The sequence below is a fragment of the Homo sapiens genome, chromosome 2, assembly GCF_000001405.40.
Source record: "Homo sapiens chromosome 2, GRCh38.p14 Primary Assembly".
Classification (NCBI taxonomy): domain Eukaryota; kingdom Metazoa; phylum Chordata; class Mammalia; order Primates; family Hominidae; genus Homo; species Homo sapiens.
The window spans coordinates 9,211,346-9,233,737 of record NC_000002.12 but is presented as its reverse complement, the minus strand read 5'-3'; the positions used below and the strand labels follow the sequence as shown (position 1 = coordinate 9,233,737).

The 22,392-nt window shown below is 45.6% G+C and overlaps 1 protein-coding gene across 17 annotated transcripts in view, besides 4 other annotated features; it reads right to left on the bottom strand.

Annotated features, from left to right (window-relative positions):
* Positions 1-22,392, bottom strand: part of ASAP2 (ArfGAP with SH3 domain, ankyrin repeat and PH domain 2) — a 198,867-nt gene that overhangs the window by 171,941 nt on the left and 4,534 nt on the right. The window contains exon 1 of one of the 17 annotated variants that reach the window (XM_047446205.1): positions 11,188-15,810. The exons of the other annotated variants lie outside the window; for them this stretch is intronic. The gene's annotated coding sequence lies outside the window, so the exon portion shown is untranslated. Of the gene's footprint in view, positions 1-11,187; positions 15,811-22,392 lie in introns of those variants that run through there. 17 annotated transcript variants of the gene reach the window in all.
* Positions 1,558-2,112: an enhancer, noted in NCBI's record as "H3K4me1 hESC enhancer chr2:9371755-9372309 (GRCh37/hg19 assembly coordinates)". NCBI's record gives its function as "activates a minimal SCP1, AML or CMV promoter by ChIP-STARR-seq in primed H9 embryonic stem cells {active_cell/tissue: H9 hESC(primed)}" and the evidence as "EXISTENCE:reporter gene assay evidence [ECO:0000049][PMID:30033119]".
* Positions 2,113-2,669: an enhancer, noted in NCBI's record as "H3K4me1 hESC enhancer chr2:9371198-9371754 (GRCh37/hg19 assembly coordinates)". NCBI's record gives its function as "activates a minimal SCP1, AML or CMV promoter by ChIP-STARR-seq in primed H9 embryonic stem cells {active_cell/tissue: H9 hESC(primed)}" and the evidence as "EXISTENCE:reporter gene assay evidence [ECO:0000049][PMID:30033119]".
* Positions 6,964-7,258: a silencer, noted in NCBI's record as "tiled region #15524; HepG2 Repressive non-DNase unmatched - State 10:DNaseD". NCBI's record gives its function as "represses a minimal TATA promoter and a strong SV40 promoter by Sharpr-MPRA in HepG2 cells {active_cell/tissue: HepG2}" and the evidence as "EXISTENCE:reporter gene assay evidence [ECO:0000049][PMID:27701403]".
* Positions 15,045-15,919: an enhancer, noted in NCBI's record as "OCT4-NANOG-H3K4me1 hESC enhancer chr2:9357948-9358822 (GRCh37/hg19 assembly coordinates)". NCBI's record gives its function as "activates a minimal SCP1, AML or CMV promoter by ChIP-STARR-seq in naive H9 embryonic stem cells {active_cell/tissue: H9 hESC(naive)}" and the evidence as "EXISTENCE:reporter gene assay evidence [ECO:0000049][PMID:30033119]".

The following is a 22,392-nucleotide window of genomic DNA, read 5'->3' as shown; positions in this document are numbered from 1 at the left end:
TTACTGCCTGGCACACAGTAAGTGCAATATAAGTGTTTGTTAAACACAAATGAGTAAATGAGCATATTTGCCCATGGCCACACAGGTATCAATTAGCAAAACCTATATCTGAGTCCAGGTCCAGCTGGCTTCAAAGCAGATGCTCTAATCACTACATAGGCTAAGCTATAACGAGAGGTCCTGAAGGGAATGAACCATTTCTTATCCATCTCTGCATTTCCTGCAAAGTGTATTGGTCCCAAGCCACCATACAACTTTTGTAAGTGTTACTTAAAAAGTAAAATCTGAAGAATTTACAAAAAGCTTTCTCTGAAAAGAGATTATAAAACACTAAAGAACTACCAGAGCCCATAAAGGAAAATAGCACAAAAAGCATAAAGGCCTCTCATCAAGGTAACCTTCTCATCTGGACCTTCCATTCTGAGGATGTTTATTCTGGAGACCTCAACATAGTACGGCTTCGCAATTCCTTCACTATCTGATAGACTCTTCAAAGTCCCGGCATAATACCAGCCTTCATTATAATTGTCACACAGACATCGATCACTATCACCAAAGCAACCACCAGGGTTAACCTCCCAGCCCTCCTGGACAGTAATTAGATGACTCAAACTGTCTCAAAGCCGTATCTCTGTATCTCTCTACCACAAAACTACTTTGGTCCCACTGAGCAAAAAAAACACAGAGCACAGACTGGCAGCATTCTCCATTCCTAAGAGGCAGCAATTTGGAAATAATAAAGGAAATCCTTGGATTCCTGCTGGCAATAGATACAGAACAAAACTGCAGCTGGGAACACGTCTAACGTGGAATTCCTTCTTCCAGAAGGGCAAGGCAGCCCCTCTGTACAAGGGCACAAACATATTTTTACTTTTTTAAGGATTTACACTCACTAATTCAACTTTCGAACCATTACCCTCTAAGAATCAAGTCCCCATGGCCAGAGAAACAAGCTTTCTATGAACCAATGACACCAGAGCTCCGGCAACAGCATGTCTCACTCCCTGCAATCTAAGCTGTAGTTGCCTGTCAGTTTTATTCATTCAACAAACACATATTAAACATATATGATGTGTCCAGTGCAATTCTGGGTGCTGAGGATGCATCACTAAGTAAGAGTCAAAAATCCCTGCCCCCAGGAAGCTTATGATCTAATGGGGAGAAGGGGAGATAGAAAATAAATTAAAAATATGACAAGTTATGTGCTAAGTGAGGTGGTTAAACAAATCAGACAAGTTCTCTGCACTTCCAAGATCATAGTTTGTCAAAGACAGACAGTAAATAACAGATACAGACAGTATAATGTGGACAGTCAGCTGCGAAAGGGGTACGGGGGCACAAAGCCAGCAGAGGAGGGCCCTCTAATGTGGCCTCCAAGGAAGGGGCACTGGGCTGAACTTCACAGAACAGGCAGGGAGATACGAAGAGCAGGGCGACTCTACAAACAGAGGGACCACCTGTGTAAAAGGATCGGGCGCAGGGCAGTGAGGCGTGTTGACACAGAGGACAGGCATGGATGAGATGGGGTGGGAGGGAGGCAGGGGCCAGGTCAACAAAGGAGAAGGACCCAGAGTCTGGTTACTTTCCAAAAGGTCAGGGAAGCCACCAACGTGTCTTCAGCTGAGAAGCTAAAGAGCAAATCTTTAAGACAATCACCATGACCTCAGTGGGAGCAGAGGCTGTTGAATGCTCTGGCTGACAAATGACAGGGGCACCCACTGCAGCTGGAGGAATGGAGAGAAGGGGCCAGATCAAGAGAGATGGAAGCAGGAGCTTCACTCACAGGACAAGATGGGCAACTGGAGCAAGCCAGGCAGACTTATGGTTGCCACTTCCCAAAGTGTCCGCTGGGTCAAGTGGGTGGGAGGGGCACAGCCCAGCTCTCAGTCCTCACCTGCTGCAGGGAAGGGCCAGGCTGCCAGGTGACAGAGCTAAAACCTCAAGGATGGCATGCGAGACGGCACAGAGAGGAGAGTCTCCAAAGGAAGGCATGGCACAAGGGCTCCAACTAGCAGAAGGACCATGGGAACACAGCATGCAGATGCCAGGGACACCCAAGGGCCAGGCAGACAGACAGGCCCGCTGCTGTGCAGGAGTCTATGAGCAAGAACAGGGCCCTCTGACAGGAGGAAGAACAGGCAGGCGCAGGCTAGGGGTGTGGCGGCACCCGGGCATCTCAATGGGCATGCACACACAACAGAGCTGGCCTCCGGGAGGTGGCAGCTATGTAACATGACCAGCGACTGCTCACTGGCATCTCAGCGAACGGGTAGCAGGTACCGAGTCATGACGCAAACCCAAGTCTGTCAAAGCCCAGGCTGTTGCCTCCATACCAGATGCTAAAACTGGGTCTTAAAGTTAGATGTGACCTGACTTAAGCCCTAGAGCAAGTTCCTCCTGGCTGAGGTCAGAGGCAAGCTTGGCTGGGGAGAGGAAGAGGGCAGAGCCTGAAAACCTGGTGAGGAGTCAAGGAAACTGTCACCTGCTCCCTGGAGGTGACAAGGTCCTGGCTACAGGAGGGAGTGAAGGGAAAGGATTCACCCCAGCAAACCCTTCCAGCAGAGAGAAACACCCAGCCACTGCCTTTCCCCCATCCATCCTGCTGGCAGGAAGCACAAATTCCTCTTGCCCAGGCTGGCATAAGAAGAAAAAGGAAGGAAGTGGCCTGGGGAAAGTGACCGACATAGAACCGCAAAGCAGCCGAGCCTGGGCAGCATCTCCCCGCCAGAAACAGGCAGGGGTTTGTGCTGCCAGGAAGCAAGAAGCTGGACTGTGCCCTGCCATGGAACCAGCCCAGGGCCTCCCTCACACACCTCCAAGGTCACACAGGACCCCCTGGCCCATGCTCCTGTGCAGGCAGACCCCATCTCTGGGCTTTGTTGCTATTAAAGACATTGCTGCTCCCAAACCACTGTTTTCATCAAAACCCTTATAAATCTGGTCTGCTTAAAAGGGCTTCTCCAGTGATTAGAAAATGCAGGCGTTTTCCTAACAACCTTCCTTCAAAAGGTGAAACAACGTCCTTGCCTTGCACATATCTGCTCTTACTCCCAGCTGTGATGGAAAACATGGACCGTCCTCCTCGCCAAGCAGCTCAGGGGATGCAGGCACCTCATCCAGCATCTCAGTTCTGGGGGAACCCAGGTCTGCACACAGATACTGCTCCTTCCCTCCCACACCCCTCCTGCAGGAGGCTGAGTCTGCCCAGGGAAAGCAGCTTGCAGTCCAGCTGTGGGGCTGACCACTGGGGAATCAGTCTCAGCACAGTTTTTGCCTGCAGGTTCCAGGCCCTGGGCTCAGGCTGTGGCTTCCAGAAACCTCGGCTTGGGAAACTCGCCTGCCAGAGTCACGGCTGCACTGCTCAGTCTTGTAACACAGGCTCGCAGTGGCAGCAGGCCCACGCAGCCCCTCTGGGTCCCCAACACTGGTCCTCTGGGTCCCTGGCCAGACCCTGAGCAAACAAGCCCTGTTCACTCCTGAAGGTTATGACTGATTTGGTGTTGCCAATAGCAACTGCCTCTGTATCCTGACACATTTATCACACCATATGGTAATCAGCTGTTTACATATGTGTTTATTCTGAAACTGTGAGTGCCTAGAAATCCAGGACTCCCTCTTTACTGACATCAGCAAATGCCCCAGTGTCTGGGACCTTTAATGCAGTATGTAAAAGAAGCAAACATCATCATCTCTTCTTGCAGAATTCATGAAGCTGTTCTCAACCAGCAGCTTCTTTACCTCTTGAGCAAGGCTAGGACCTTCCTTGCTCCATACACAAACACACATCTCTACCCCAGCCCACACTGACAACCGCCAGGGCTGCAGAAATCAGCATCACTCCAGGCCCACAAATGCCCCCAACAGCCTGGCCCACCCACAATTTACAGGGGACAGGAGGGGCACACACCTCCAGGGCCAGGCACTTGCTTCATGTTCTCCAGACAGCCTGTCTCCCCCTCTTAGGCTCAGGCACTTTGTCCCCCTGCAGAATGCTCTCTCCAGTCTCCCTTTGCTATCAACTACTCCATCACTTACTCAACCAATTCCCTCCAGTGCTCTGTGTGCCCAGCCCCGTGCCTAACGCAGGCAATCCTGGCTCCCTAACACCTGCATGTCCTTCCAGGCTCGACTGAGATTCAGGCTCCTACAGAAAAGCAGCCAGCTCAATGCTGGCCACAACCGCTCCGCTCCTCCCTAGACACATGCTGGGCCTCTCCTGCCAGGCCAGCAGTGCCCAAGGGGGACGGCTATTTCTCCTGTCTCCTTTGTAGCTGCCCCTGGTTCCCAGCTCAGTGAGAGGCTGGATGCACAGTACTCAGGTTGGTTCATCGACAGGGGAAATCCCTCAGTCCAGGCTCAAGTGAGGTCAAAGGGTGAAGACAACAGAGGTGGGGCTGAGGCTCACTGTGGCGGGCACCACTGAGCAAAGTCCAGTCCAGGGGTCAGCATCCCCAGGGCAACTGCGAAGTCCACCATGGAAGCAGCACCGGCCACCTGCCCCGCCACCAGCCCTGCAGGTATGCCCTACTATCTTTAAATCTGTTGGGTTTCTTTGTTCCTGAAGTTAAGTGTGATGATGCGGGGGGGGCTCCACATCTGTACAGATGTTTAGTACATCTGTACTAAAACTCCGCTTCTCTGCCGAGTCCTGTCTCTATCCTGATTGTCCACTTTCCGCCCCTAGCCTTCAACTGCCAGATCCCTACGTGGTAACAAGGCAGGTGTGGCTTTCGGAATGGAGCCCGGCAGCACTCCCTCCTGAGATACCGGATCTTCCACCTCTGGGGAGTTGGCCCGTGAGGGGTGCTTGAAGCTGCTGGAAATGTCACAGAAATTTGACAGGAAATAGGACTATCAACACACTTCACTATTGTGACAATAAAACTAAAATTTCAGTTATATAGCATTATTTAGGAAGAGTGCCGTTCATAATTTCTTGGCCAACTGAGCAGCATACATTTACATATATTAGGTATCACCAGAAATAATTTGCATTTGGGTATGCCAGTTCACATACGCATTCTGCTGTCCCTTGAGAGTCTGAGAAATTCAATGATCCAGAGGCACCACAGTTTCTTGCCTCTGTGACGGCCAGATGGAAAGAGACCATTCATTTGTATATCACACATGAACTCTGCTCAGGAAGATGGGGGCCGCTCACTCTGCCAAGCATAACAAAAATACATCAACTATCAGCTCCCAAATGGGTTTACTCCTCCTGTGGCCACCCAATCACTCTTCCCCAAAGAAAGAGACCAAAGACCAAATACCAAAACATAGCAACCAAAAGGAATGCGAAAAAACAGGGAATGTGATTATAGACTCAAAGACTGGGAACCACTTAGCCATCATCTCAAATCTTTCTCTTCTCAAGGATAACACCAAGTGAGTAGGCAGGATGTGAAAAAAAGAAATATGCATTGTAACTGGAATACTCACCATGACAGATGACATAAGTATATTTTTAACACTGAAGGAAGATATGATTCTCTCAAAAGGATGATTCATTCCAATGATAAATAATTCAAGATTATTACTTCTTCAAGGTTATATGGCCAAAGAGTATGTCCCTATCAACCATACACCATGAATTATGTCTCACACTAAAATTCCAGAATTCTTAAAACCTCATATTAAAAGATTCACCCCCATTCCATTTCAATTATAATTATAGATACACTCATAATGTTATCTAGACTATCCTCTCCGATCTCGCTGCTATTATCTGGTTATTATAAATAAGCAGTACCTTTTGCTGGAACAGCTAATACCACTAGTATTAACAGTAACCAGTACTATTAACTCTCTTCTGATGTAACATGCAAATATTTCTAAGTTATCTGTCCTCACTAGTCATTTCCAAAGAAAGTAACATGCAACAAACAATGCATATATGAACCTTGAAATCCCTTTTCAAATGAAGAGGCTGGTCAAAGAAGTTTCTAAGCACATAGAATCTTTGTATATGCACGTGTACTCACAAATACCTTACCCACATATTTTTTTAACTCAATAAAACGGTTACTGAGGACCTCCCAAATACTCAGCTGGTTCTGGGTTACAGAAAGATCATTCATTGAACAAGAGCTGTAAGATCCTGGTTAAAGTCTCAGGGCTACTACTTACCAATTATCTTATTTTACAGAGCCGTTAAACCTCTGTGATGCTGTTTCTCAGCTGTAAAATGTGCATGAGCCCTGTCCCACCCGAATAGCGTTTGAAAATAGCCAAGTATAAATACAAATGAGAGCTTATTTTAAAAAAAGAAAAAAGAGATCCTGCCCTCAGGAGTTTGCAGTTCGGTTTTAGGAAATAAGAACACAAACACAGGAAACAAGTCCACCGTGTAAATGGTGAACTTGCTTTAGAGGAGGCTCACTGCTGAACGACACTGAGGGAGGGTCAGCACAACACTCATGCGTCAGGCACTGCAGGGCACAGGGGCGCACAACCCCAAGTCCCCCACTTCACAGAGCACATGCCCTTAGGATTGGGGGCTGAGGGTACAGCAGAGGCCAAGTGCCCTGAAAATGTAGGAAGTGGGGATAATGGAGGAAGTGGAGATAATGGAGGCTGCTAGTGAGAAATGAAGACTTCTCAAGCACAGCAGGGCTGGAGACGCCGGATGGCAGATGAGCAGGATTCCAGAGCCACAGGAGAGGAGGATCTGAAATACTCTCTCACACATACTTCCTTCTCGCCAGGGAGCAGGACCCGAACACCTGGACTGGATCTGAGCTCCCTTACCCTTCTGGCTGGGCGACACCTCTGCTCCACTGACAACAGCCTATCCCAGGCCCATGGTGCACCCCTCCAGCATGCAGGAGAAGGGAATGCCTCCTGACTGACCAAGGAAGCCACCTGCAATCTCTCTCCAGACCTCCCGCCTTTCTGGTCCCTGGGTGAGTGCTGGGAGAGAGATCACACACCGATGATGTTAGGCCAGGGAAGAGCACACCGTTTGCTAGATTGCCAATGTTTTGAGTGGACGGACGGCGTGTTCTTTGTTTTTCCAGGCTCCCTGTGACCTGTTTCCCAAGTCCTCCCCTCCAGGGCTTAAGAGGGAAGAAGAAGTGACATAGGACAGTCCTCCCCACGGCAGCCTGAAAGGACCTTTGTGCAGAGGCCAGCATCCAGAGCAGGACAACCTCAGTGAGGCTTCCTCCCAACTCCCCCTTTACCACAAAGCCCTTCAGCAAGCTGGACTTTAAAATTACAGAATCCCCAAGCTGGAAGGTGCCCTTGAAGTCATTATGGAACATCCTCAGATCAAGAAATGAGGCAAAGGTATTTGGGGAAATAAAAGCTCAAGAGGGGCGGAAAGTAGACCCATGCCGAGTTCTGCATGGCCTCAGGGAGGTGACCCCGCTCCCTGCAATAGGCATTTTGGCAATTACTGTGCATAAGGGTACACAGCCATACAGTGTGCTTTACAGAAAACAGACACTGAATGAATAAATAAGTGGGTGATCTTTTATTTGTAAATGGTAGGTTCCTTAAAAGTAGAGATAAGATTGGATTTTTAAGAGTTTTATTATAATGTTGATTTCTGGTGTACAGCATTATCGTCTACGTGGCCAGCCAGCTGTGGGACTTCAAACAACTGACCTTCTGAGCCCCTCTTACGTGCCCCAGGGTGAGACTAGCTCGCATGAGGCAGCACACAGGACACAACCTCCGCCTTCAAGGAGCTTATCCAATGTCATCTCCTCCCTGGCAGAACCATTGTTTCTCCTTTCCTCCAGCTCATGGGCGCCTTCCAGGCAGGAACTCCGCAGAACCCACGGCCTGGTATGGAGCAGTTGCTCTATGAAAGGAGGAAGGGAAGGGGGAAGGCCGGCCTGAGTGTGCCAGCCACACACCAACCAACCCTGGTGACAGCACAAACTAGAAGATGAGGAGTTGCCACTTAACTTCCCTGGAATACGTCCCTTCCTTTGTATTCCCTATGCCCTAATCCAGACCCCTACAACCACTTCCCACGGCAGTGGCCAATGCTTCCTATTGGTCTCCCTGCCCCTAACCTTTCCAGCCTGCTCCATCTCCCCCAGGATCCCAAACCATGCCAGGCCAGACTTCCTAAGCCCAGCTATGCTCATGTCACTCCCCTACGCAAAAGCCCTTAATATTTCCCCACAACCTTCTGAATCAATTTCCAACTGACATGCTCAGCCCTCCATAATCCAGCTCTGACCCACCTGTCACCTGGACTTACTCATGACCTCAGAGGTAAAATCGGGACCACAGAGGAAAAGGTGAAAGTACTTGCTTTCATTTAGTATACATTTCCTGGGGAAGAAAAGGCTGCTTCTACCAGCAGCAGGTCCCTGGGTCACCATACCAAGCAGAATGTCTAAACAGGGCCATGCGTCCTACAGACCACTAGACAAGTGTCTTTAAGGTTCCTCACAACTCAGTATTCTGGCCTAGCTGAGACAGACTCTGGGACAGAGTAGATCTGTGAGACAGATCTACCCACACTCACTCAGAGCTCTAACCAGGCTTGGGACAACTTTTTCTATAAAGGAGCAGATGATAAATATTTTAGACTTTGCAGGTTGCATATACACGGTCTCTGTTGCATCTTCTTCTGGGATTTTGTTTACAACCCCTAAAAACCATAAACACCATTTTTAGCTTACACTTTTTGCATACAAAAACAGGCTGGAGCTTTGCTGACCCTGCCCTGACCAAACAGGGACAACCCTGGGTACCCTGAACCCCATCTGCAATGTTCCAACTTACGCACCTTGACTCAAGCTAGCCCTCCCATGCCCTCCTTTGGTGAGACTCCCACTCTACAGAAGACAAGAGAAGCCAGGACCACAGCCCAGCATGCAAGGAGCCTGACAGCTGTGGGCACGACCACTGTGCTTCCCAGATGTAGAGCACTCTGCTTCTGAGCACAGACATCCCAGGTCTGTCCCAAAGATGGATCAATGGATGGACAGAGACAGATAAATGGACAGATGGATGGATAAAAAAGGACACATAAAGTGAGTCAAAAACTAATTGCTTCAAGAATTCAGAAATTTGTTCTGATAAATGAGGAGTGTTAGGGAAGGTTCTACAGAAGAAAGGATATGATTATGTTTTTCAAAGAAGAAATCAGATATTAATTGGGATGGTTTATAGAGTGGAGATTTCGATCATCCTTAGAAGATTTTCCTGCTTCTCTAATTGTTTCAAAGGATGACACGACAACCTTGATTTTGCAAACCAAAATGGATTTATTTCCAGGCATACAGCAATCCTTTGAAAGAAAAAGGTATGAAATCACAAATCAACAAGATTAGCTGGACCTTGACAATCAACAAACATTTTCTGAGAATTATGTATGCTAGGCATCATGTTGGGATTCAAAGAGAAGTAATACCTAGTCCCAACCCTAGGCACACTCAGTCTGGTGTGGGGGTTTCAGAGGAAAACTAAGAACTGCAAACAGGGGGATCTCTGGATTTGGAAGCTTCCTGACCCCAAAAAGGAAGCGCCAGAGTATTCAGAGGTCAAGCAGGAAGCCTCTTGCTCGGCACCAGTCACTCACTAGGCAATCCTCCCTTCCCTCGCACTGCTCAGCAATGGTTGTCCTCACATTAGGCTACGTGTCCCAGAAAATTCCACCAAGGCCCAAATTCCATACTAAATGCTTCATTTGGGCCAACATTAAATGAAGGAATTGTTCTACAGAAATTAATTTTCTCAGTGAACTCAAGCTCATCAAAATTTATAAAGCAAAGTTCAAAAACTATTTTCATGGATACTATCCTCAGTGGATTACGTGCATCCCAGCGCACCAAATCAGAGGACGCTGATTTTGACTATTCTTAATGACCAACCTAACATCAATAAACATGCTCTGCTGTGGCTTAGTGAGACCTGCAAGGATTCCAGAGTAGAAGGGGGCCCCCACCCTTCTAAGCTGGTCTAACTCCTCTCTTCCCCTCCCTCCCATTGGCCTTAGCTGTAGGGCACTGGGTCTCTGTTGTTCCTATTTCACAACATGGTCTTTTCTGGAAGCCTGAGGATGACATGGCCCTGACCTACAGGGAAACAAAATGGGCTATAATTTATAGTAGCTTACTTTCTACTTCATTGGGGGTCATTTTGTTTACTTCCAGGTCTAATGTACGCCCTATGGCTGCCAGGTTATTCCAGCTAATAGTACATTTTCCTTTGGAAAAAAAAATTAACAAATTTCTGAAATACACATTTGCTGACACTGTTACTCCCTAATTTACACCAAAATCTAACAAAGCATCAGAACCCTATAGCATTTCATGGCATATTAGGGGCAAAAATGAAGCCTGCATGTTCCAGATAAGGCCTTACTGGCTTAGTATACAGATGCTTGAAGGATCCAAGAAGGTTCATAAATTAAAAGAGCAAATAAAACAGGGCCCTTAAGAGATTTCCTATCAGCTATGACTAAAGCAATTTTGTCATAAGATCAATCAAATCTCCTTTACTTCGCTTTGACCATAAAGAGAACTGTGCACTTCCAAAATTAAGCTCCTTCCAACATTGCTATAGAAGATAATAAATCAATTTTAAAATATAGAACAATAAACCCAGTTCTAGAAAATTGAGGGGAGTCAGAGTGGTAGGAAAGGAGGCCAACTTTAAATGTCATCACCAAAGCAGTCGCTTGCAAGTGTGACTTGAGAGATGCAGGAAGGCCTCTGCCTAAAATCCCAAATTAAAGTGGGACTCTTGAGTCTCCTCTGGATGGAACAGGATCTTTTAAAGAGAAAACACAGGCCTTGGAGGGTCTGGAAATAGACCAAGGCAATGAAAGTCAAGAGAAAACAAAGAGGAAAAAAGTGAGGAGGAGAGGAGAATTTTAAGCTTTGGACACTGATTAGGTTCCAGCATAAGCATCCCAGTCCCCAAGGAAAAGGTGGGACCAGGAGTGTAGACAATGGAAGGAAGGAAGATGGGAAAAGGTGAACGGCCATTTCTCCTACCCATGATTTTTACTGTGGGTGATTCCTGCTAGCGAACACACCCACCGGCACCTCTTCCAAATCAAAAGTATGCAACCTGGCAGGCTGCGACCAAGGCAAACCAAAGCTACGGGTTCTGACAGCCCGATGCTCCAGTAGTAAACACACCTCATTCCTATTTGCCAAAAAACAAAAACAAGAGAATTTACAAGGTGAGAAGAAAACCAGGAATCTCAATAATTACCTTTTGTCAAGAAGTGAGCAGTCTCCTGTGGGGACCAAATCAAGGCAATGTTGATAGAAAGCAACCAAAACACCAGCCACACTCACCAGCAGAAACAGCAGCTTGGAAAGGGTTTGCGGTTGCAGAGAACACACGAGGCCTGGCTCTAAGCCTCCTGAGTGACTACCAAGCACCGTGGCCAGACAAGGCAAATATCTAAAACCCATTTACAAATGCAAAAACATTTCCACTAACTTCCTTTGCAACTAAAGACCAAGCAAGCAAATCTTCCTATTTTCTCAACATGCCCAGAGGCCAAATAAAGAATAAAACAAATTAAATACAAGAAACTGCAGCTTACATAAAAACTGATTTTTAATACCGAAGTTCATCAATAAAGTTACTGAGCACCTATTCTGTGCAAATCATTGGGAATTTAAAGATGATTAAGAACTGATCCAGCAATCAGATAAGAAAAAGCAATAGGCCAGCGCGGTGGCTCACGCCTCTAATCCCAGCACTTTGGGAGGCCGAGGCGGGCAGATCACGAGATCAGGAGATCAAGACCATGGTGAAACCCCATCTCTGCTAAAAATACAAAAAAAAAAAAATTAGCCAGGCGTGGTGGCGGGCACCTGTAGTCCCAGCTACTCGGGAGGCTGAGGCAGGAGAATGGCGTGAACCTGGGAGGCAGAGCTTGCAGTGAGCCGAGATGGCGCCATGCACTCCAGCCTGGGCGACAGAGCGAGACTCCGTCTCAAAAAAACAAAAAAAAGAAATAAAAGGTGCTCAGCTTATTAAAGAATAAACAAAACTGTCTCTATTTGCAGATGATATTTTGCATATTAAAAATCCTAAGGAATACACATACAAATACACAAAACTATAAAAGCCAATAAACAAATTCAGCAAATTGTAGGCCATAAGATCAATATACAAAAAGTAACCATATTTCTATACACTAGCAATGAATAATCCAGAAATGAAATTAAGAAAACAATTCCACTCACATCAAAAAGAATAAAGTACTTAGGAATAAATTTAACAGAAGAAGTGTAAGATTTGTACATTGAAAACTACAAAACATTACTGAAAGAAATTAAAGACAAGAAAATGAGGCCAGGTGCAGTGGCTCATGCCTGCAATCCCAGCACTTTGGGAGGCCAATGTTGCAGTGAGCCAAGATTGCACCATTGCACTCCAGCCTGGGCAACAGAGGAAAATTCCGTCTCAAAAAAAAAAAAAAAAGAAAAGAAAAGAAAATGAAAAAAACTTCCAAGTTCATAGATAGAAGAGGTTATGATAGATTGTTAAGATGTCTATACTCCCCAAATTGAACTACAGTGTCAACATAACCTCAATGAAAATCTCAGCTGGCTTTTTTGCAGGAATTGAAAAGTTGATCCTAAAATTCATATGGAAATGCAAGGGAGCCTCAATAGCCAAAACAATCTTGGGAAAAAAAAACAAAGTTGAAAGACTCACACTTCCTGATTTCCAAACATACCATAAGGCCTACAGTTAATTAAGGCTTTATGGTACTAGCATAAAGGATAGGCATAAAGATCAATGGAACAGAACTGAGGGTCCAGAAATAAACTCATATATCAGAAGTAAATCAACTTTTAAAAAGGATGCCAAGAGAATTCAAGAAGAAAAGTCTTCCCAAGAAATGGTGCCAGGACAACTAGATATATCCATATGCAAAAGAATGAAGTTGGACCCCTACCTCACATCATATACAAATATTAACTCAAAATGGATCAAAGACCTAAATGTAAGAACTGAAACTATAAAACAGAATATAGGTGTAAATCTTTGTGACTGTATTATGCAACCAAAGGAAAAATGACTATTCTGGATGTCATCAAAATTAAAAAATTTGTCCTTTGAAGGACACCATCAAATGAGTGAAAAAACAATCTACAAAATGGAAATTATTACTTGCAAATTATATATCTGATCTGGGTCTAATGTTCAGATTACAACTCAACAATAAAAAGACAAATAATCCAATATAAACATGGCAAAGGATTTGAATAGATAGTTCTCCAAAGAAGATACACACAGCCATGGGCATATAAAACAACACTCAAAATCATTAGTCATCCATCAGAGAAACACAAATCAAACCCACCACTTCACACCCACTAAGATGGGTGTAATAAAAAAGACAAACATAACAAGTGTTGTCAAGGATGTGGAGAAATCAGAACCCTTACACATGGCTGGTAAGAATGTCAAGTGGTGCAGCCTCTTTGGCAAACAGTTTGGCAGCTCCTCAAAAAGTTAAACTGACTTTAAAAAGTTTAAGTTTAAAAAGTTAAAGTGACTTAGCAATTCCACTCCTAGGTATATACCCAAGAGAAGTGAAAACATATGTCTACACAAAAATTTATACAAGAATATTCACAGGATTATTCATAATAGCCTAAAAGTGGAGGCAACCCAAATGTCCATCAACTGATGAATGAATAAACAAAATGTATCATACACATTTGATAGAATATTATTCAGCCATAAAAAGAAATAAAGTACAAATCCATGTTATGATTTGGATGAATCTTAAAAACATTAGGCTACATAAAGGAAGCCAGACACAAAAGGCCACATATTGTTTGATTCCATATATGAAACAACCAGAATAGGCAAATCCATAGAGACAGAAAGTAGATGAGTGACTGCCAAGGACTCGGGTACAGGTGACTAGGGAATGACTCCTAATGGGTATGGGGTTTCTTTTTGGTGATGAAAATGATCTGGAATTAAATAGTGGTGATGGCTACACAACTTTGTGAGTACACTAAAAACCTCTTAGTTGGACACTTTAAAATGGTGAATTTTATGGTAAGTGAATTCTATGGTATGTGAATTCTATCTCAATTTTTTTTTAAAAAAGCAACAACAATAAGAAATAAGTTTCTCAGGATGCTATAGAAAGGTTTTTTCAAAAATAAATAATTCAACTTGAAGATATGATTCAGCAATGATGTTGTCTTTTCAGGACTATCAACTAGCCATTCCTGGCTGATTTTTGTTCCTGTAATTTATTCCAGGGACTTTTCACATCCAGTATATATGAATACAAAGAACTATGGAATTTTTAGGTCAGGGAGGATGGTCAGAGAACATCTAGTCCAAATCTCTCATGTTACAGACCAGATACACAGTTAACTGGCTCAAGGTCACAATAAGGTTGACCTTACAACTCCAATCCCGCTCTCCTAACTCCCTGGCTAGGTCTTTCTGCTCCACAACATAAACACAACCGAATCACAGGGCAAATGTGAAAATCACTGCTTCACACTAGAGAGCACATCTTCCAATGATGAGAACACTGGTTCCCCACAAAATCTAGGAAGCTCGCTGGATATAAGAAAATCAGTATTTTCTTGAAGTTCAACAGTCCACATTACTCAATGACCACAAAACCCCATGATCATCACTAACACAACCTGCTTTTCACCAGAGAAGCAAAGCACAACAAAGTTTTAATTAAGAGACCAACGAAAGCAGCAAAGACTGCAAAAAATACTGCTCTGAGGCAAGACAGATGGCAAACAACACGGCCTCATTCGGCCCAATCTCAAACCAGCAAGGCACCCATTGGGATTCCAGCTCAAGTACCAACCACCACATCAACTCCAGTGATATCTCCAAGGAGGGAATCTTTAAAGAAGGGGATGAAAGAGGTAACGTTCACTCTTAGCTCTAACTTCTTGAAAAGTATAAATATAAATAGTCAAGATAAAGAAAAAAACAGAGACGACAGCCAAAAAAAGCAAGGGTGGCAAGAGGCAGGGGAAGTGTTGCAGACAGCAGCAGACATGGAAGGTCAAGAGCTGGAAAGACTGGACTCATCGCATCCAACCCTCCATGTTACAAATGACGCAACTGAGGCAGGACCAGTGAAGTCACCTGCTCCAAGGTCCAAGAGCTGACAACAGATTCAGGCTATCAGGGGAATACAGTACAAGGCCTCAACATTCTCCCTTCCTTTCAAAACCTCTCCAAAGTCCTCTGTTAACAGGGAGCTGACTCCTCTCCACCCAAGTCTGCCTAGACACGCCACATCCATGATTCACCCTTCAGTGGCAGCCTCAAAATACAGATTTGCTGAAACGAAGGGAATACTCTATGGGTCTGGGTGGCTCCTAGTCCTTGTCACACAGTGACAGTGTTCTTGGCCCCTCAGCTCTAAGGAGGCCAATTGGTCAAGGTCAAGTTAATAAACACTTCTGATGTTAAGTGCCTCCCCAGGAGTTAGTGTCTGATGACCTCCAGGCAATCACATTCAGTGACAATGGGGACTGCAGGTGATCAACAACCATCATTAACCTGCACTAAGGAAACTCACAGGAACACCTACAGAGAAATCTTCCCAGGCAACAGAGAGCCCAGCAGGAGACTGACAGGTGGGGCATTAAAAGATCAAGAAGAGTAGGACCTCCTCCACAGCACTGGGATTCTTACTCTATCAAATGCTGGTTGTGGGATGTGGAACCTGGAGGCATGTCACTATAGGACTAACCTCAGGACTGTTGAGGGGATCAAATCATCAATTTAAAACACAGCACAGTCCTTAATACAGAATTAAAGCTCAGAGAAATGAAATTAAAGCATTGTCATCATTATTTTTTCATGTAAAAAAAAAAAAAAGCCAGGCGTGGTGGCTCACACCTGTAATCCCAGCACTTTGGGAAGCCGAGGTGGGTGCCTCACGAGGTCAGGAGATCAAGACCATCCTGGCTAACACAGTGAAACCCCGTCTCTACTAAAAATACCAAAAATTAGCCGGGCGTGGTGGCAGGCGCCTGTAGTCCCAGCTACTCGGGAGGCGGAGACAGAAGAATGGCGTGAACCCAGGAGGCGGAGCTTGCAGTGAGCCGAGATTGTGCCACCGCACTCCAGCCTGGGTGGCAGAGCGAAGACTCCGTCTCAAAAAAAAAAACAAAAAACAAAAACATACCTCTAAGAAGAACATGATTTCTTCTGAGAAGCTGGGGAAAGAGGTCCCGACAATCCTGACTGCCTGGCTAGAATCCTAAAAGACAAGTGAATTCATCATGAGAGGGAACTGTCTTCATCAACTGCCTGATTTTATTGACAAAGCCATCTTCAGCATGGAGTGGAAAAATGACATCGTTATTAACACTGTTAGCAGGGAAGGCCTCCTGCCAGGGTGTGAGCAATGCCCCTGGCCACTCTGCTCCGTGGGGCTGGGCATGTCAGCAGAGCAGTGAGGAGAGGAAAGAAGAACAATTTCTGCAGCAAGGAGGACAGATGAGGCAAACAGGAAACGAGAAGCAACAAGGATTTGCCAGAAGCACCCACTCGAGCAATGCAATAGCTGCAACTTTCTAACACTAACAGCAAGGGAGGGCATGCTGGCCACAGAGGCTGCAACACCAAGGGCCTTGGTGGGCACGGGCTCTACAGAGGCTGTTGGCTGCTAAAAGAAATAGCAGACTCTGGTGTCAAAATGCTTGATTTGAATGAATCCTGGCTTCATCACCTCCAAGCTCCATGAACTTGGTACCGTGGCCTAATTTTGCTGGCCCCTATAGCATTTTGATAATAACTAAATGAGTTAATAATTGATATATGTAAAGAATTTAAAGCATATCTGGCACATAATAAGTGCCCCATAAATGTTAGAAAAGACAAGGGGGAGGCTGGGCACGGTGGTTCACGCCTATAATACCAGCACTTTGGGAGGGCAAGGCAGGAGGATCACTTGAGTCCAGGAGTTCAAGACCAGCCATGACATGGTGAAACCTTCTCTACAAAAAAATACAAAAATTAATCAGGGACCGGGCATGGTGGCTCACACTTGCAATCCCAGCACTTTGGGAGGCCAAGGTGGGTGGATCACTTGAGGTCAGGAGTTCGAGACCAGCCTGCCCAACATGGCAAAACCCCGTCTCTACTAAAAATACAAAAATTAGCTGGGTGTGGTGGTTGGCACCTGTAATCCCAGCTACTCAGGAGGCTGAGGCACAAGAATCACTTGAACCTGGGAGGCAGAGATTGCAGTGAGCTGAGATGGCACCACTGCAGTCCAGCCTGGGTGACAGAGTGAGACACCGTCTCAAAAAAAAAAAAAAAAAAAAAAAAATTAAACAGGCATGGTGGGGCACACCTGTAGTCCCAGCTACACAGGAGGCTGAGGCAGGAGGATCGCTTGAGCCCAGGAGGTCAAGGCTGTGGTGAGCCAAGATCACACCACTGCACTCAAGCCTGGGCAACAGAGCCAGACCCTGTCTCAGAAAAAAAAAAAAAAAAAAAATATGAACTGACATTGACTTCACCCACACTCTGGATATCCCCAACACACTCTTGCAACAGCAGCAGCATTTCAAATCCATACCCTCACTGAAAATAACACACACTGCAAAGTCTCCCTTAAAATTCTGGGTAGGTGGTGCCCATGAATCTTCTGGTGCTTCACAATGGAACTTGCCCTGCAGAGTCAAAGGCAGTACATGCCGTGTGACACAAACAAGAAAGGCACAAATAGGAGAGCTGGGTTGTAGGACCTACCCAGCTCAGAATCCTAATTACAGGACTCAGAAGGTCCAATGTGCAGCTCTGCTGAACTCTTGAGGCATGCACAAGTATATGAACTGACCTGTGGGATCAGATGAGAAGCTGCCAAGCCATAACCCTGAAAGAACAGAGGGCACCCCACGGATGTAAAACCACAGTGGATGGCTCCCCGCCAAGAGCGCTTCTAAACACCTTTAGCGCCTCATAATTCTAACACTGGCCTAGGGTGCAACTCTTCTCAGCTAGACTCTTAGAACCAATTCATGGCAAGGACAGTATAATAATTATGAAATATAATAATTATATTTAACAAACAGAGTGGTTAAAGAATCCATCACTCCAAAAAAAAAAAAAAAACTAGCTAAACAAATCTTACCATCAAGCCTGGAATTCTCTGTCTGAATCCAGGGGGTCCATAAACTTGGATTGGAAAAAAAAAATTATCTGTATTTTCATTAGGGTCTAACTGAAATTTATCGTATCTTTCAATTACAAATGTAAGCAACACATGGTAATATTATCAATACTTGCAATAAAAGATATGAACATTACATTATCTTTATTAGAAATATCTCGTATTGTTTATATTCATCAATACCTCAAAATTAAGGTATTTGTTAGACCCACCAGTAAATCTTGTTATTAAATGCTTTAGTAAAGAAGCATTATGAGCATGGTAAAAATTTTTAAAATATTCTCCTAACTGAATTTCAATATACAGTCGTGCTCCACATAGTGACATTTCAGTCAACAATGAACCACACAGACGACCTCTCATAAGATTATAAGAGGGATTTTTACTGTCTTTTCTATGTTTAGATACACAAATACCACACATAAATACTGTAACTGTGTCGCAGTTACCACGGTATTCAACACAGTGGCATGCTGTAAGGTTTGCAGCCTAGGAGCAATAGGCTCTTAATATATAGCCTAGGTGCCTGCATGCCATCTGGGTGTGTGTAAGTGCACTCTAGGATGTTCGCACAATGAAGAAATCTTAACGATGCATGTTCGTCATTAAGCAATGCATGACTGTGATTAGTTTCCTTCGGAATCTTATTTTGTTCTCTGCATTAAAACATTTTTCTGAAGAGGCAGATCACCTTCGCCAGAGTGTCAAAGGGAGCCATGGCACAAACAAGGTTAAAAGGATGAAACAGAACTGCACATAAAACATGAGACTATTAAGTGCTTTCTAAGGAAGGAGCTAGTCCTGTTCACTTTTTTTTTTTTTTTTTTTTTAGACGTCCAGGCCATCCTGTCCACTTTTACATCCCTGGCACCTGGCAGTGACAACATACGGTAGGGGCCCAATATACATTTATGAGTGAAGAAACTAAATCAGTCAAATCCCTTCATAGAAATGACCATCATCATAAAAATACAGCCCAAGTATTCCAGCTCGGGTTGGTAGTCTGTTTATTCCAAGACATTGTTGACATGATAAAAACGATAATGGTATAAAAGCACCTGGAAAGGCAGCCGGGCGCAGCGGCTCACGCCTATAATCCCAGCACTTTGTGAGGCCGAGGTGGGCGGATCACCTGAGGTCAGGAGTTCAAGACCAGCCTGGCCAACATGGTGAAACCCCATCTCTACTAGTAATACAAAAATCAGCCGGGCATGGTGGCAGTCACCTGTAATCCCAGCTGCTCAGGAGGCTGAGGCAGGAGAATCCCCCTTGAACTCGAGAGGCAGAGGTTGCAGTGAACCGAGATCGCACCACTGCACTCCAGCCTGGGTAACCGAGCAAGACTCCACCTCAAACAAAATAAAAAAGAAAAAGAAAAGAAAAAAAGTACCTGGAAGGGCCCTAGCAATCCACTTGGAGGCCACATTACACAGAAAAGGCGTAAGCAAAGGAGGTAGGTTCATATCACGGAACGTCACCTCTCTTTAGTAGGGAAAGAAAGAGGAGTGTTTGGGGAGCTGAAATGGGGATAGCATCCCAGGCATCTGACAATGCCCATAAGTATCACCTGCTGTAGTCTGCATAGAAACAGCAGAGGGTCGCATGAGCAGATCCCTCAGTCTCAGTCTATGCAGCCATGCTTCTCTCTTTCCCTGGGCCCCAGTCTATGCAGCTATGCTTCAATCTTTCCTTGATTGACCCTGGAACTGGTCCCAACACAAGTCCTATAACCAGTCACATCAAGCAGCACAGAGCTGGCCTGGATTCTGACACTAAGTAGCTCTAGACAGCAACAGCTTCACCATGGGGATGCTGGAAGGTCTGTTCAGGGGGCTTGGATGAACTGAGCTTGGCTGTTGCCCTGTTTGGGGCAGGAGTTCTATTGGGTCTACCTCTATGCCACTAGCACACAATAATGACAATCCATCAGTAGGTTTGGACCCCTCTTCTTGTACAATGGACCTCAATCAGGCCACTTACCACCACCCCCCCTGCTACCTCCTCATCCAAGACCTCTTGCCTAGATGACTGCAATAGCCCCTCACCCCACAACTGGTCTCCCTCTTTCCTTTCATGCCCTGCTAGTCTGTTTTCCCTAGAACCACAGTGAAGTCTTTAAAATGGATATCGGACCATGTTATTCCCTGCTCAAAACCCTTCAACAGCTTCCCATCACACTAGAACAAAATCCAAATTCCTTCCCCAAGATGGACAAGGCCCTCTGTGACCTGGCACTGCCCACCCCTCTGCCCGTCTCTCATCCTTCTCTTCCTCGCCCACTCCTCCCCACACACCCTGACCTTCCTTCAGTCCTTCCATGATCCCGCCCATTGGCATTTCAGGGCCTTTTCCCAAGCTGTTCTATTCCCACATCTTCTGTGGCTGGCTTCCTCTCTGCATTCCAGCCTGCTCAAATGTCACCTCTGCAGAGAGGCTTTTCCTGATTTCGGTTTCCTGATCTCCAGAACCACTTTCTATCCCCATGTTATGCATGACTTTCCTTTACAGCACGTATCAACTGCCTAAGGTTGTTACGTAACTGTCTGTTTATCAGTGATTATCAACCCTATTTGGGAGGAGGCTTTAAAAAATGCCAAGGCTCGAAGCCCCACCCAGACTAATTTAAGTCAGAATTTTAGGGAGTGGAGCCAGGCAGCTCTGCTTCACAAACGCCCAAGCAACTCCAGTGTGCAGCCGGGGTTCCGTCTCGAACAGTGCTTCGCAAGCTCTCACGTGCCTGTGGTGTACGTGGAGATGCTGTAAAAATTGTCCTGGGTGGAACCCGGGGCTCTGCATTTCAGCAAGTTTCCAGGTGATGGCTCTCCCGGTGGTTGCTGAGCCAATATGGTAGCCACCAGCCACGTGTGGCTACTGAGTACTTGCAATGTGGCGGCTGAGAGCTGGATTTGTCTTAGGCTGCCTCATCAGACAGTGCGGGCCTGGAATGCATGTATATGCTCCACAAAGGAAGGCACCGGTGCCTGGAAACGTGGGGTGCATGGGAAGAATTGAGGATCACCCCAAATTCTTGGTCTGAGCAGCCCTCTAGAGACCAGGTGACTGTGAAAATCCTACCGCAGACGCCGAGCTGGCCACCACCTCAGGAGTAGATCAATATTTACCTAAGGCAGGGAGGCAGGTACAGAAGACCAGAATGAACCAGCTTAGTGCCTTAGCATTTGGTAACCCACAGGTAACTGCCTGGACTTCAAGACTCAACGGTACGACATCATATAAGGCCCTCCCTCACCACAGCCCCACGCCCTGGGACCACCTGCACCCTTGCACATCCACAGGACTCCAAGCATTCCTACAGATGTGGTCCTCAGATTTTACTGCACTGATTTGTTTACAGGATTCTGTTCCTCTTGCTGGACTGTAGGTCCCTCCAAAGAGAGGACATATTCTTCTTGGTGTTCTATTCCTGCCACCTCACACACAGCCCAGCACACTGAAGGACTCAGGAATCCTGAGTGCATGGCAGGACCTGGAACCCGTGAGGAGTGGCATCAGTACTTCTACTCTTGAGCCTAAGAAAGAAACTGAATTCAGCATTCACCAGGGGGCAGGGAGGAAGGCTCACATATGAAGAGAAAATGGCTGCTTCCTTAAGTGATTCAAAATTTTCTGAAATTCAAATTTCAGAACACAGTTTAAAAGGTGGCCCTGTTTGACCCATCAAGGCTCACTTCCAAAAACATGAATGCTCTGGGCAAGAAGGTGATGTCCTTCTGAAGACAGCAATAATCTGTTCTGGGGACTTGGAGGAACTGTTTTTCAAACAAGTCACAAAGGGCTAACATTCAGAATCACATTCTTGCCAAAAAGCACGTAGCCCTGGTTCCCACTGTTGCTGCTAGGAGGGGTCTGGTCCCATGGACGGCAGGGCCCCTGGGAGCCTGCAGGCCCAGATGCTCACCCCACCCCTGCAGTTAGAACCCTGTGCTTATGACAGCAATGGGATTGCCAAGGTAACCAAGGACAACAAAGTAGAGAATTATGGCCCCGGAAGGAAGTAGATTAAATTTTAATACTTACAAGTCAACATCAAATTTATTTTTAAAACTACATCAATGCCAAATACGTAAGGCAGAATGGATGGTGCTATAAAGGAGGGTCTAACTAAAAACATGAATATTCCAAATATGTATACAATTTTTCCCTATTTTGAGAATATTTCAAAGTGCCCAGAGGCTCGAAGAAACGAAAAAAAAAGAAGAAAAAAAAGGAACAAAAAACCCTTACTTTTCAAATTTCTGCCA